This window comes from Homo sapiens, chromosome 3, assembly GCF_000001405.40.
Source record: "Homo sapiens chromosome 3, GRCh38.p14 Primary Assembly".
In the NCBI taxonomy this organism is placed as follows: Eukaryota; Metazoa; Chordata; class Mammalia; order Primates; family Hominidae; genus Homo; species Homo sapiens.
The window spans coordinates 188,227,312-188,241,399 of NC_000003.12; the positions used below are offsets into that span (position 1 = coordinate 188,227,312).

The 14,088-nt window shown below is 42.2% G+C and overlaps 1 protein-coding gene across 56 annotated transcripts in view; it reads left to right on the top strand.

Moving 5' to 3' along the window:
• The window catches only part of LPP (LIM domain containing preferred translocation partner in lipoma), a 737,651-nt gene that overhangs the window by 74,291 nt on the left and 649,272 nt on the right, over window positions 1–14,088 (top strand). Inside the window, exon 1 of one of the 56 annotated variants that reach the window (XM_011512823.3) lies at window positions 12,530–12,851. The exons of the other annotated variants lie outside the window; for them this stretch is intronic. Within the exon in view, the coding sequence (XP_011511125.1) occupies window positions 12,786–12,851 (66 nt within the window). The 5' untranslated portion in view covers window positions 12,530–12,785. Of the gene's footprint in view, window positions 1–12,529; window positions 12,852–14,088 lie in introns of those variants that run through there. 56 annotated transcript variants of the gene reach the window in all.

Below are 14,088 nucleotides of genomic sequence, written 5' to 3' on the forward strand. Positions count from 1 at the left end.
TATCTCCTAATGCTATCCCTCCCCCCTCCCCCCACCCCACAACAGTCCCCAAAGTGTGATGTTCCCCTTCCTGTGTCCATGTGTTCTCATTGTTCAGTTCCCACCTATGAGCAGACTGGAAGAGTCTTAGAAGTTTTTGTTGTTCATAAGCTAAATATGAGCCAACAGTGGCTTTTGTTGGGAGTGGCTTCCGAAATGCTGATGCAGCCTTCACCTGCGTTTAATAGAGTATGGCATCTAGAACAAAGTGAGTGGGTGATTCTGCAAACCTAGAACACCTGGAAACTGGCAAGTGCAGAGGTCATGTGAGCCTCAGGCACAGTTTGAACAGGACTCTAGCTCTGTTTTTCTGCAGCACTTCTTGCTCTGCCCTTTTTTGTGCCTGGGCTTCATCCTTGGAATGTTTTACCTCATGGGCCATGAGACGGCTGCCTGCTGAAACCCAAACTATAGATATCCCTGTTCCCATTTAGGGGAAAGAGCCTGGTTTGCTATATTCTCATAGGCTTGGCTGACTGTATATTTCTGAACCAGTCATTGAAGCCAAGAGAATGGGATTATGGTAATATGAACCACTATTCTCCTGAAACTGAATTTGGACATAGTCCCATCCAAACCTCATGGTACTCACACAGTGGAGAAGAGGTGGCCCCGCAAAGGAATATCTGGGTGCTGTTAGGAGAGGGAGAGAGGACTGGAAGCTCCGTGGGCAACCACAGGCCTTCTGCAGACCTCTTTAGCCCCCCTGTCAGAGACCCTCTAGAGAGCCGGGCTTTAGTTCCTGCCTCACCTTCTGAAAAGGCATCAGCCAGCTGCACTGTCTACACGAGGATGCTGAGAGGACCAGGAATGATGGCCAACCAAGAAGTGTTACGGGAATGAGACCATGGATTCTGCTGCAAGATTCTGGGACACACGTGCTCATGGCCATCAAGAACATAGAACCTGGGCAGGACAGGGACAGCATTGCTTGTTCATGTGTGTGTCTCCAGAGTCTGCTGGGGTCTCTGGCATGGGATAGGTGCTGCATGAATTTTCATGGATAGAATAAATCTGAAGGAAGTGAGGGTCCCTTTCCCAAAGGGTGTTCTATCGGGCATTGGCTGACTCTCTGTTAGGGAGTATAGGAATTGTAGCACAGATGAAGCCAGACTACGTGATTTAATGAGAATGAAACAAATGACTGGACAAGCTGGGCATCGTGGCTCACATCTGTAATCCCTGTGCTTTGGGAGGCCATGGCAGGAAGATCGATTGAGGCCAGGATTTTGAGACCAGCCTGGGCAATGTGGCAAGACCCTGTCTCTACAACTAAACAAACAAAATCCCAAATGACTGGACAGAAAGAGGCTTTTGACTTAAGAAGTTTGTGAGGGCATAAAAAGGCAGTGAGTATGGTGGGATGCCCTAACAGAAGTCCTGACAAGTATGAGATGTGCAACCCTAGAAAAACAACATCCCTTCACCCTTATTTTTTTGATCTGAGAATTAGGAACAATAATCATTGCCCTGCCTACCTCTCATGTTTGCTTAGAGCAAGTGCATTGTTAAATGCCAACCTGTTTTGTAAACTATAAAGTGTGGTTCCTGTATGATACATTATTACAGTTGTCTTCTTCCTTAAAGACTCATCTTGAATATAAAGAAAAAGACAATGTAAGTTCAGTGCACAGCATCGGGAACATTAGACATGCTCAGCGTATGCCCTTCCTGCCAACATTGTACCTCTTCCTCCTCCGGGTTGGATGGGCACTAACTCGTCCTCAGTCCTGCAGCTAGATCTGCAACTTTGCTTAATGATGCAGGTTAAAATTGAAATAGAATTATGTATTATTATTTTTCACATTCATTTTTGCCTGAGACAGGAGGTGGAGGGTGGTAAATTAAGAAACCCGGGAAGCTCAGTGCTTGAGAGAACCCATAGAAGCTACAGTCTAGCCCATTTGGCTTCTTACTTTGTTAGATTAGATAATCATACCTGCTGCTCCAGGCGTGACTAGCCCAGTGGGAGTCAGGAAGGAAATTATTTCCCTCTGTTGATACCGGTTTACAATTGCCGACTGTCGCCAAGGGCTTTCAGTTTTAATATTTCCTCTTTGGTCCTCAGAAGTATCAGGTATTAGTCTCTGCCGGAAGCAAAGCATTGGTCACTTCCGTCAGAGGTGAATGTCTTGGCTGTCTATAATTCCTCAGTCAGGTGCTTTCTGGGCATGTGTGAGCATTTGCTCAGCTAGCTTTTATTGCTTGTATGTTATTTGCTTCAAAAATTACAAGAGGATTTGTCGGGTCTGAGCAGTGACCTATCCAGTCCCCTGAAACTCTATGGTTCTTCGTGTAACCCAGGGATGTCTTGTAGGAGGTATGTTTGCTGTCCACGAAAGTAAAAAGTAGTGATATCTCTTTCTCTCTTTTGCTTCCTTCCTCCTAATTCCACATTCTCCTATTTCTTGGCTTCTGGCACAGTGGAGATACCTCTACTCTACATTAGGCATGGCCTTAGGGGATCCGAATTCTCAGGTCTTCCTCAATGAGTTGCTGTGTGGTAGACAGCATCTGAAGTTTGAATGGGTAGAGAGACCTTTGTAGATTGTGGCCAAATATTTACACCTGGTTCATAGAGTATGTGTTTGCTGCCCTGATCTCAGTGTTGGTCTGGGTGTTAGTGAACCTCATGATCTTTAGGAAACTATGTGAATTAGGCTTAGTCCCTGACCCTGAGAAGCTTATAGTTAGGGAAAAAGACAAACATATAAAGGAGAAATACACATTAGAAACATATTCTTTTTTTTTTTTGAGATGGAGTCTCATTCCGTTGCCAGGCCAGAGTGCGGTGGTGCGATCTTGGCTCACTGCAACCTCCGCCTCCAGGATTCAAGAGATTCTCTTGCCTCAGCTGCCCGAGTAGCTGGGACTACAGGTGCGTGCCGCCACGCCCAGCTAATTTTTGTATTTTTAGTAGAGACGGGGTTTCACCACATTGGCCAGAATGGTCTTGATCTCCTGACCTCATGATCCATCCACCTTGGCCCTCCAAAGTGCTGGGATTACAAGAAACATATTATTTATGGTACACATTTATTAATCACCAGATATGTTTCAGGCCTTACGCTGAGTGCTTGGGAAATTGAGATAAATTATAGTCTCAGATCTCATGGGGCGTGGATGAAGAGTTGGGAGAAAGAAAAAAATAGGCCAGGCGTAGTGGCTTATGCCTGTAATCCCAGCACTTTGGGAGGCTGAGGCAGGCAGATCACCTGAGGTCGGGAGTTCAAGACCAGACTGACCAAAATGGAGAAGCCTCATCTCTACTAGAAATACAAAATTAGCCGGGCATGCCTCTAATCCCAGCTACTCGGGAGGCTGAGGCAGGAGAATTGCTTGAACCCAGGAGGCGGAGGTTGCGGTGAGCCGAGATCGCACCATTGCACTCCAGCCTGGGCAACAACAGCAAAACTCTGTCTCAAAAAAAAAAAAAAAGAAAAAAAGCATTGATTAATATTATCTCACAGTTTCTGAAATTTGGGAGCAGCTTGGATGGGTGCCACAAGATCTCTCACCACATCGCAGTCCAGGTGTTGCTGGACCTGCAGTCTCACCGGAAGGCTGAACTCCGGGGAAGATCTACTTGCTACCAAGCACATCGCATGATGGTTGGCAGGATTTGTTTCCCCACAGATTATTGGACTGAGGACTTCAGTTTCTTGCCGTGTAGGGCTCTCTATAGGGCAGCTCACATGGCAGCTGCCTTCCCTCAAAATGAGTGAGCAAGAGAGAGTCCCTGAGAGGCAAATCACAGTCTTTTTATAAGTTAATCCTGGAGGTGACACACTGTTCCCTCTGCCTCATTCTCTTTACGAGAAGCGAGTCACTAGGTCCAGGCCACACTGAAGGGGAGGGGTGAATATGAGCACAAGGTTATTAATACCAGGAGGTGGAGTTACACGGAACCATCTTAGGGGCTGCTTACCACAGATTCCCCAGGTTTACATGGATGTGCTAAGGTGGAAGTGGACGTTGCCTGAAGCAGTTGAATAAACCCAGCACACCTCTGTGGATCAATTTTACTTGAAGACATTTTTGGGGGAAAACTCCATTTAAAACTCTTAAGAGAAGCACTGGTACATAATAGCACAGGATGTAAAGTTGGCATGGCTTTTAAGAAGAAAAACACAAGTTTTCAATTCATGCCGTGTTCCCTTACCTCTGTATTTTTGCCCTCCTCAGCGGTAGAGCTTTTTTGGTAGAAATGTCGAAAGGTTCTTGCTTGAGCCCCTTGCTGTATGCGTGAGACACCGAGACTTGGAAAGGGCACATACTCTTCCAGGGCCACAGAGCCAGCGGTAGTCAAGGGAGGAACCATCTGCAGCTCCTCTCTGTGCCCCGCCTTCCACCGCTCCACACAGTCTCTGCTGCATAATGAGTCTGTGCAACTTTTAGGATGTTTTCTCTTCTTTTCTCAAACTCTCTCCTGTCCCAGAAACAGATTAGGAAAAATAGGTCAAAAATTGGAATCTTGAGCTTTGATTTTGTCCCTTTAGTTAAATTTCAGGGGTCTGCGTCTCCTGGTGGGCCATGTTGTGTCCTGAAAAGTTGCATAAATCAATATTACACGGCTCAGACAGTGTATCTCTGCAGTTATGAATAACATTTGTTTTAGGAACAGAGAGCTGATATACAACGTTACTTTGAGACTGACAAGACCAGACATAAAACCTCAGCCAATACCCTCTGTCTGGCAGGGAGTTTCTTTTCCAGAGCATCCTTCTCTTCCCCCGACCAAAGCAGTCCTTTTCAAAATCAAGCTCCGCAGTTTATTTTATAGAAGATGACAGGTTCCCTTAGAGTCCACATTCACATAACTAGAAAAATTAATGGAAATTGGAGCCTTAAAATTATGGTCAAGCTTATTAGTGACTTTACAGCCAAAATGAGGAACGCACAGCTTTGGTCACTGAGAATGTGGCTGGCCAGAACGTGAATTCTACTACCTGCTCCATAGTCCCTTTCAACTCTCAGCAATTTTTTTTAATACTCATCTTATTCTTTTTTTTTTGAGATGGAGTCTCACTGTTGCCCAGGATGGAGTGCAATGGTACAGCTCACTGCAGCCTCTGCCTCCAAGGTTCAAGCGATTCTCCTGCCTTAGCCTCCCAAGTGGCTGGGATTACAGATGCATGCCATCACACCCGGCTATTTTTTTTTTTTTTTTTTTTTTTGTATTTTTAGTAGAGGAGGTTTCACCATGTTGGTTAGGCTGGTCTTGAACTCTTGACCTCAAGTGATCCACCCTCCTTGGCCTCCAAAAGTGCTGGGATTACAGGTGTGAGCTGCCATGCCTGGCTAACTCTGCTTGTTATTAAAGTGTTTCTTACCAATTATTTCATTTTTATTAAAAGTACATAGTAGGAAATAGAGTTTTAGTTGGACAAGGACAACATGGTAAAGAGGAATTTGGAGTAGGAAGACTGTCACGTTAGTCACTGAATCCTACCTAGTTCACTTAGTTTTTTTTAGCCTGTTTTCACTTCTGCAAGCCATGGAGTGAAGAGTGCCTACTTCAGAGTCTTTGGTGCTCTCAAAGCAGCGTAATGTCTATAAAGTACCTATTGAGTGTGGTACTTCTTATGTAGTTGGCACACATTAAATGTTAAGTTTCTGATCACCTTAAGAGTCCATAACTCTTTGCTGGAGATCACCCTTAGTTCTTTTCTTTGTTAGGCCATTATCTCATGTCCTGTTTACACTGTCCCCTTGGATTGGCCTAGACCTGCAGCGTTTGTGTATTGGTCACCCCAGATTTCATGTTTCCTGAATAATTAATAGCCTCAACATTTCTAATTTTGCATAATGACTCCCAAGGCCTAACTACAAACATCATAATGTGCTCATGTTTTCTGATACCTGGAAATATAGTGGCTCTAGGAACAAAACCTTTATCCACTGTGTTTCATGGGGAAGGCTTATTGGGCATCACTACTGGAAAGTAAGTGTTGATTTTAATGGCAAGACTAGTCCAGGGGTGAATTCTACTCAGGTGCCATTAGCAACCTCTTCATCTGTAAATGGAAGTGTCTCTGGGACCTGCTCAGCTCTGACCTGCTTTGGGTCCTTTTTGGACTTCTTCAGGATGAGATCACCTCACCGTGGTTCAATGCCAACTGGTTTGAGTTATATCAGTTATTAAAAATGATCTAATGTTTTCCTTTTAAATCTGAGGCCCTGGCTCATTCTATGATTAAGCCAGTGATTTATTTATAATATAGTGTGAGATGGCTGCAGCCACTCTATGATGTAATCTAAGAATGACATGAAAACAAAATAGGTTTTTACATAATGAAAGTATTCCTGTAATACAGTTTATAGCAAGGCTTTTTCCCCCCATTGAGAATGGAGATATATTCTTTACTTTTCCTTCTACTCCTGTTTAAATCTTCTTTTACCATTTATTACACTTAAGGCCTTTAAGTCAATTTTTAAAAATCAGCATTTACAACTCCACAAAGTCTCTGGTTACTCTTTTAATCTTGTCATTTTCTTCGCTCCCAATCCCCACTGCCACCCTCCATGGCCTCTGTGTGTAGCCGCTGCTCACCCCCTGCTCAGCACTCCAGAGTCCTCACCATTCCTCTGCTTATGCTGTTTCTTCTGCTGGAATGCTCACCCCAATCCTAACTTTTCTTCTGCTAAAGGCATACTTCACTGGTTCCCACAAATAGCATCCTTCTGTAGCCTGCTCAAATGCACATCTTCCTTTAAGCCTCCTGTGTTGCTCCTTCCCCTTGTTAGAAACCCGTTATCTGTACTCTTATGGAACTTAGTGTAATAGCAAACCCCCACCCCTGCTCCAAGGGCTATTCACAGACTGTCAGAGTTAGGGAGGAGAAATGACTTAGAGGAATGGGGTAAGGGGTTTTGATAGTTCCCGGTCTGCTCCTAATAGTGAGACCCGGGCAGTCAGTCATGGCTCATCTTTGTGGTTCAGTTTTTCTCAGCTGAGGAATGAGTGGTTTGGATTTTATTTCACATGGCCAAATGATGTGTTGGTAGTGGTTCCTTGAGGTGCTGTGCTGAGAAGGACTCTGAGGCTGCATCCTGACTCAGCTAATGATCACTTAGGAATATCGCCATGGGAGTGGAGAGTGAAAGCATATGAGAGGTATCTGAGCTGCTTTTGGACTAGGTGATTTAAATGTCTCTTTTTGTTCTACCTTCTGGATGCTTTGATTTACTGACTTGTGAAGTGTCTTGCCCAAGATCACGTAGCCCATTAAGTTTTAGAAGCTGATTCTCTGACACAGAGATGGTTAAAAGCTACACATTTGACTCTCACATTCATACACGTAGGCTGGCTGTGGGAGATGAAAAGCTAGAATAAGAAGTTCTAGAAGATCCATGACTTATTGAAAACACAAGACTACTCAAACTCTGTATGTCTTTGAGGTTGAGTGAGGTCACTTTTCACCTCTTTGTCTTCTTTGCTTCCTAGGAGTTATGATGTCCCCACTATTCAAATTTATGTCAAAGATGGCAGTTCAAGGTCAAGGTCAGAAAGGCAGGTGATCCTGCCAGGGTCTTAATTGGATCAGCCTTACCCCATGAATCCATTAGATCTCCTGTTCCCCTTCTTCCAACTCCAGACAAAATGCTTAGCTCTCTGCAAAAAGCCCAATTGCATGAGCAGTAGGTCAGCTCAGCAACCAGGTGATTGAACACTGGGACAAGAATAAAGGAAGGAAAGGAAGAGGGCATTTTAGGATGGCTGAAGGTGCTGGAAACTTGAACCCTAGAGGAATGAAGAAGGAACTGGAAGTGCTTAGTGTAAAGAAGAAATAAAGGGGCAGGAGGAGGAGAGAGCAGAGCAGGTGGTGCTGTCCTGGGTCTCTGCTGTGGAACGGGTGCAAACTCACTTTTTGGGACCTCTGGAAGAGTTCTGGCAGCAGTGGGTTGGAAGCAAGAGATAGATAGTGTGAGAATGTTGATGTTTTCTCAATGTTTATGGAAAATGCTTAATGTTTTAATATTAAGAGCAAACCACAGATGGAATGTGTGTTTCAGGAGGTCGAAGTTCACAATCACTGCAGATGTCTAGGTGGGGTTGATGCAGTTAGGTATTTTCTATTTTAGGTATTTTGTGGTGGGGATAAAATGTTATACATGATGACTTTTAAGGTCCTCCCTGTCTTAAGAGTCTAGAGTTTTTTTAGACATGTTTTTGTGTACATTTAAATAATTTCCATTTTAAAATGAAGGCTCTTTGGAGTAAAGTGATTGTTCCTTTCTCCATAATCTTGGCACATGTAAGTGCTGACTTACCTTGGGCAATCTCTTCTCCACTTAGCATTATTGAAGGAAAGGAGACTAACTGAGGATGTCTTAGAATTTTTTGTACTGAATGTATTTTTGAAGATGATTTGTACGTTTCTTTTCAGGGTAGTTCCAGGGAAGTCTCTTCTTTAGGCCTCCTCCAACCACCATCCCCTATTGTCAATGATTGGCTGTTTTTGTACTACCAGAATGCTTTGTGTATACATCCAATAAAGCATTCATGCCACTTCAGTCTGCTGTATAAGCCTGTTTTCACAATCTTTCTTCTCCTCTAGATTGTAGAAGCTCCTTGAGGGCATGAATTATGTCTTTTTCCATAGGAAGTCCCATGTCATCTAGTATAATAGTTTGCAAATAGTAATAATGATGACTCATTAACTCGAGCGTTTACTGAACACCTACTATTTGCTAGACACTATTCCAGGTGATGGGACTAGAACAAATGTTAAAAAAAAGACAGAAAAATTAATGAGTAAATATGTAATATTTACATTGTGATCTATTAGGTTGGTGCAAAAGTAATTGTGATTTCTGCCATTACTTTTAATGGCAAAAGCCGCAATTACATTTACACCAACCTAAATATATTAAGAAGAAAAATAATTGAGGTTAAAGGCATGAAGAGTAGGGAGGACACAAATGTAAATTCACTGGCCTGAGAAGGTCTTGATGGTAAGAGTATATGTGAATGGAGACCTGAATGAAACGAGGTAGCAAGCCAGAGATGTGTGGGTGGGATGGACTGGAGGAAGAGTGTGTAGAACTGACTGAAAGCAAATGCAAATAACCTGACCTGAAGCATGCTGGGGACATGCCGGAAAAGTGAAGAGGACAGTGTGGCTAGAGTGAAGTGTGTAAAAGTGGTCATGCATGCCAAATAAAAATAGTTGCAACAACCAGTAAGACATACATGAGAGATATTGTGGGTTCAGTTGCAGACCACCACCGCAATAAAACAAATATTGCAGTGAAGCGAGTCACACAAAATTATTGGTTCCCAGTGCATATGAAATTTATGTTTACACTATACTGTAGTCTCTTAAGTGTGAAATAGCATTATGTCTAAAAATACAGTATACATACCTTAATTAAAACTTTTATTGCTAAAATATGCTAGCAATTATCTGAACTTTCAGTGAGTCCTGCTTTTGCTGATGGAGGGTCTTGCCATGATGCTAATGACTACTGACTGATCAGAGTGGTGGTTGGTGAAAGTTGGGGTGGCTGTGGCAATTTCTGAAAGTGAGACAACAATAAAGTTTGCCACATTGATTGACTCTGCAGAGAAAGAGTGATATCAAGCTGTATCACTTCTCTGTAGCATGTGATAATGCATAATATCATTTTACCTTCAAGAAAACTTCTTTCAAAATTGGAGTCAGGCCTCTCAAACTTTGGATCTGCTTTATCCATTAAGTTTATGAAATATTTGATATACTTTTTTTTTTGTTGTCATTCAACGATGCTCACAGCATCTTCACCAGGGGTAATTTCCATCTCAGGAAACCATTTTCTCTGTTCATCCATAAGAAGCCCCTCCTTATCCATTCAAGTTTAAACAAAGGATTACAGCAACACAGTTGCATCTTCATTCCACTTCTAATTCTAGTTCTCTTGCTATTTTCACCACATCCTCAGTTATTTCCTCCACTGGTCTTGAACCACTCAAAGTCACCCATGAGGATTGGAATAAATTTCTTCCAATCTCCTGTTAATGCTGATATTTTGACCTTCTCTTATGAATCACAAATGTTCTTAATGGCATCTAGAATGGTGAATCCTTTTTAGAAAGTTTTCAATTTACTTTGTCCGCATTCATCTGAGGAATCATTATCTATGGCAGCTAGAGCCATATGAAATGTATTTTTTTAAATAATCAGACTTGAAAGTTGAAATTACTCCTTGATCCATGGGCTGCAGAATGGATGTTGTGTTAGCAGACAAGAAAACAACATTAATCTCTTTGTATATCTCCATCAGAGATCTTGTGTGACCAGGTATGAGAAGAAATATTTTGAAAGGAATCTTTTTTTTTTCCCTCTTTTCTGAGCAGTAGGTAACAGTGGGCTTAAAATATTCTGTAAACCATGCTGGAAACAGTGCTTTCATCCAGGCTTTGTCATTCCATTTATAGAGCACAGGCAGAGTAGATTCAGCATAATTCTTAAGGACCCTAAGATTTTCAGAATGGTAAATGAGCATTTGCTTCAACTTAAAGTCACCAGCCACATTAGCCTCTAACAAGAGAGTTACCCTGTCCTTTGAAGCTTTGAAGCCAGGTATTGATTTCTTTTCTCTACTTCTGAAAGTCCTGGATGGCATCTTCTTTCAATATAAGCCTGTTTCATCTACAATGAAAATCTGTTGTTTAGTATTTACCTTCGTCAGTGATCTTAGCTTGATCTTCTGGATAACTTGCTGCAGCTTCTCCATCAGCACTTACTGCTTTTCCTTGCACTTTTATGTTATGGAGACCTAGTTTTTCCTTAAACCTCAGGAACCAATCTCTGCTAGCTTCAGATTTTTCTTCTGTAGTTTCCTCACTTCTTTTTGCCTTCATAGAATTGAACAGAGTTAGGGCCTTGCTCTGGATTAGGCTTTGACTTAAAGGGAATTTTGTGGCTGGTTTGATCTTCTATCCAGATCACTCCAACTTTCTTCATCTCAGCAATAAGGTTGTTTCACTTTCTTATCATTCATGTGTTCACTGGAATAGCACTTTTAATTTCCTTTATGAACTTTTTTTTTTTTGGTATGCACATCTTGGCTGTTTGGCACAAGAGGCCTAGCTTTTGGCCTCTCTTGGCTTTTGACATGCCTTCCTCACTAAACTTAACCATTTCTAGCTTTTGATTAAAGTGAGAGATGTGCTACTCTTCCTTTCACTTGAACACTTCGAAACCATTGTAGGGTTATTAATTGGCCTAATTTCAGTATTAGTGTGGGAGATGGGAGGGTCCAAGGAGAGACGTGGGAATGGCTGGTCAGTGGAGCAGTCAGAACACACCTATTTATTGATCAAGTTTGCCATCTCATATGGCCATGATTTGTGATACCCCAAAATAATTATGATAGTCACATCGAATATCACTGATCACAGATCACCATAATACATATAATAATAATGAAAAAGTTTGAAACATTGTGATAGTTACCAAAAGGTGACACAGAGCCATGAAATGAGCACATGCTGTTGGAAAAATTGTACCTAAAGACTTGCTTGATACACAGCTGCCTCCACAAATCTTCTATTTGTAAAAAACACAGTATTTGCCAACTACAATAAAGTGAAGTGCAATAAAACAAGATATGCCTTTATTAGTTAAGTACACATTGAAGATGCTCAGGAAAAAATAAATTGCTTTTGTGATTCAAAGAATCCACATAAATCTAACAAAAGAATGACAAAACATATTTCTGTTTTTCAGCTCTAAGAGATGGGGGCACTGGATCAGGAGCAGGATGGTAGTGGTGTGCAGCTTTGAACAAGTCCAGTTGCCGTGGGGTTTCCCTCCATGGCAGAGGGCTCTCCACTCCGTTTCTCTGCCCCTGCGGCAGGCACACCTGCAGGGATGCCTGGGCCCTGGGTGCAGATGGGCAATCGTAAGCCTAATCACCCATTCAGGCACACACTTACTTGTTTTCCACATGCAAATATGGCCTTTTTGCGGATGAATTTAATACAGTTGTTGCTTCCTCATTTTATTTAAAACAAAACAAATGGCCAACCATGTCAGTTGAGGGTAGCAAATAGAAACATGAGTATTATGGTCTTTGCTGTTTGTGTCGATTACACGGCTGAAAGGAATCCCAGGCAAATCAGTCTTTTCTGTGCTCAATTTTATTTTTACTTTATATCACCTTTTCTTACTATCGCTATTGGTTTTAACAAAATTTTTAAAGAGGGCTATCACATTCCTTTCTCTTAATCATTTTATCAATATTTCAGGCTCCTTAGTTCTATTTTGTGGTTTCTACCTTTGACATTTTTAGTTTCTGAACTTGGGGCCCATTGTTCAAAGAAAGGCATTATGGAGTCTCCAAAAGCCATTGGCAGGTGGTGTCTGTGACTTCCTTAGCCTGGAAATAAACAAATAAACAAGCACAAATTAGAAGTCTTTGCCCTATTACTGCACTATTAGTATTGATTGCGCAACATCATGCAAAAAGTCACTTTAATTTATCTGGCAGGTCCTATGTAAACACCAATACAGTCAAGAGGGCTTGGATGGGTATTTGCTTTCATTTCTAATGAAATTTCAGGCCTCTAGGGTAGGATATCAAAATTGGTAGATCATTTGCAATTTATTTTATCCCAAACACCTCACTTTACAGTCAGAGAAACTGAGGCCCAGAGAAGTAAAATGAGTTGCTCAAGGTCTCAGAGAGCAAGAAATAGAGATGGGACTTGAGCACCTAGATCTCTGGTATTGCTGTCCTGTAGTTCATGGAGCTGGCAGATGGATACATCTGTGACCTGGGATGATGGAGAGACTGCTGGACCCTTCAGAGGATCTCATCTCAAGGTGGGGTTTATGTGTAAATGATATCTGTGTGTTTCATTTTCCTTTCATAAACTAATTTAAAAATCCTTTTGGTATCAAATTTTAAGCCAAAAAGTAGTGAGGGGGAACATGGGTAGGAATAGCTTACAGCTTGCCTAACAAGGTTGTTGACTGCATAAGAGTCAGGAGTTTTGGGTAAGAGTGTGTGTGTGTGTGTGTGTGTGTGTGTGTGTGTGAGAGAGAGACAGAGAGAGAAAGAGGTAAAGAGGAACAAATGAAGAGGGAGAGGTCAGATTGTTTGACAGTAGCAACTTCATAGGCACAGAATTTCTGAGTTGGAAGGAAGTCTTATACGTACTGAATTTGACTGCTTTATTTTGTAGGGAAGGAAACTGATGTGCCTAGAGTAGTTGAGAGCTTTATTCAAACTCATTCCACTGTTATTGAGTAGTTAGGATATTAGACCAGCAACATATTTGGGTAGAAACTTTCATATAAAAAAGCGTAATCATAACTATCCAATCATGTCAACTAGTAAGGCTGCTCAGGTGGGATAACACATCAACCTTCTTTGGGATTCTTCCCTCAGACATGGTTTTGGTGGGAGGAGCATGGCAAGGGAGGGGCGAGCTCCAAATGCAGGGCTGCTCTGTCCTCGGCGACCTGAGCAGACACACGAGCAGAGATCAGAGACACTCTTAGTGAATGAACCTCCCTATTGGCTATATTAAAGTAATGCTCTGAAAAAGTTCCGTGTGGAGAGCAAGGCCAGTTAGGGAACATTTTGTGGATCTTTTATATGTCCTTAACTATATGATTCTTTTATTTTTAAATGAAAAATGTTAAGATGTTACGGGGTATGTATGCATAGTCTAAAGTGATGATTTTAGAGGTAGCAAGACAGTGAGAATGTCCCTACATGTGAAATGGGCACAGTTTTATCAGGGAAGTGTCAATAGAGGGTTAATGTTCCACGTAGTGGCTGCAAGAATGATAAGTGGTCATGGGGATAGCCTGACACTCTAGGAGCAGAAGGTGGTGGGTATGGATAGAACTACTGATATAGCATGAATCCAACCTGCTGTTATCTGCGCAGGCCTCTCTGCAGCTGTTTGCCCTGAAGTACATGCTGTACGTTTCTCCAGCTGATCCTGCATGACTGGGTATAAACGCCTGTCCGCTGTGTGCTGGACAGCCCCAGACACCCTCGGCAGCCTGCTGTGTTTGTGTGAGACATGCTGTGTTAGGGATTTAAGCA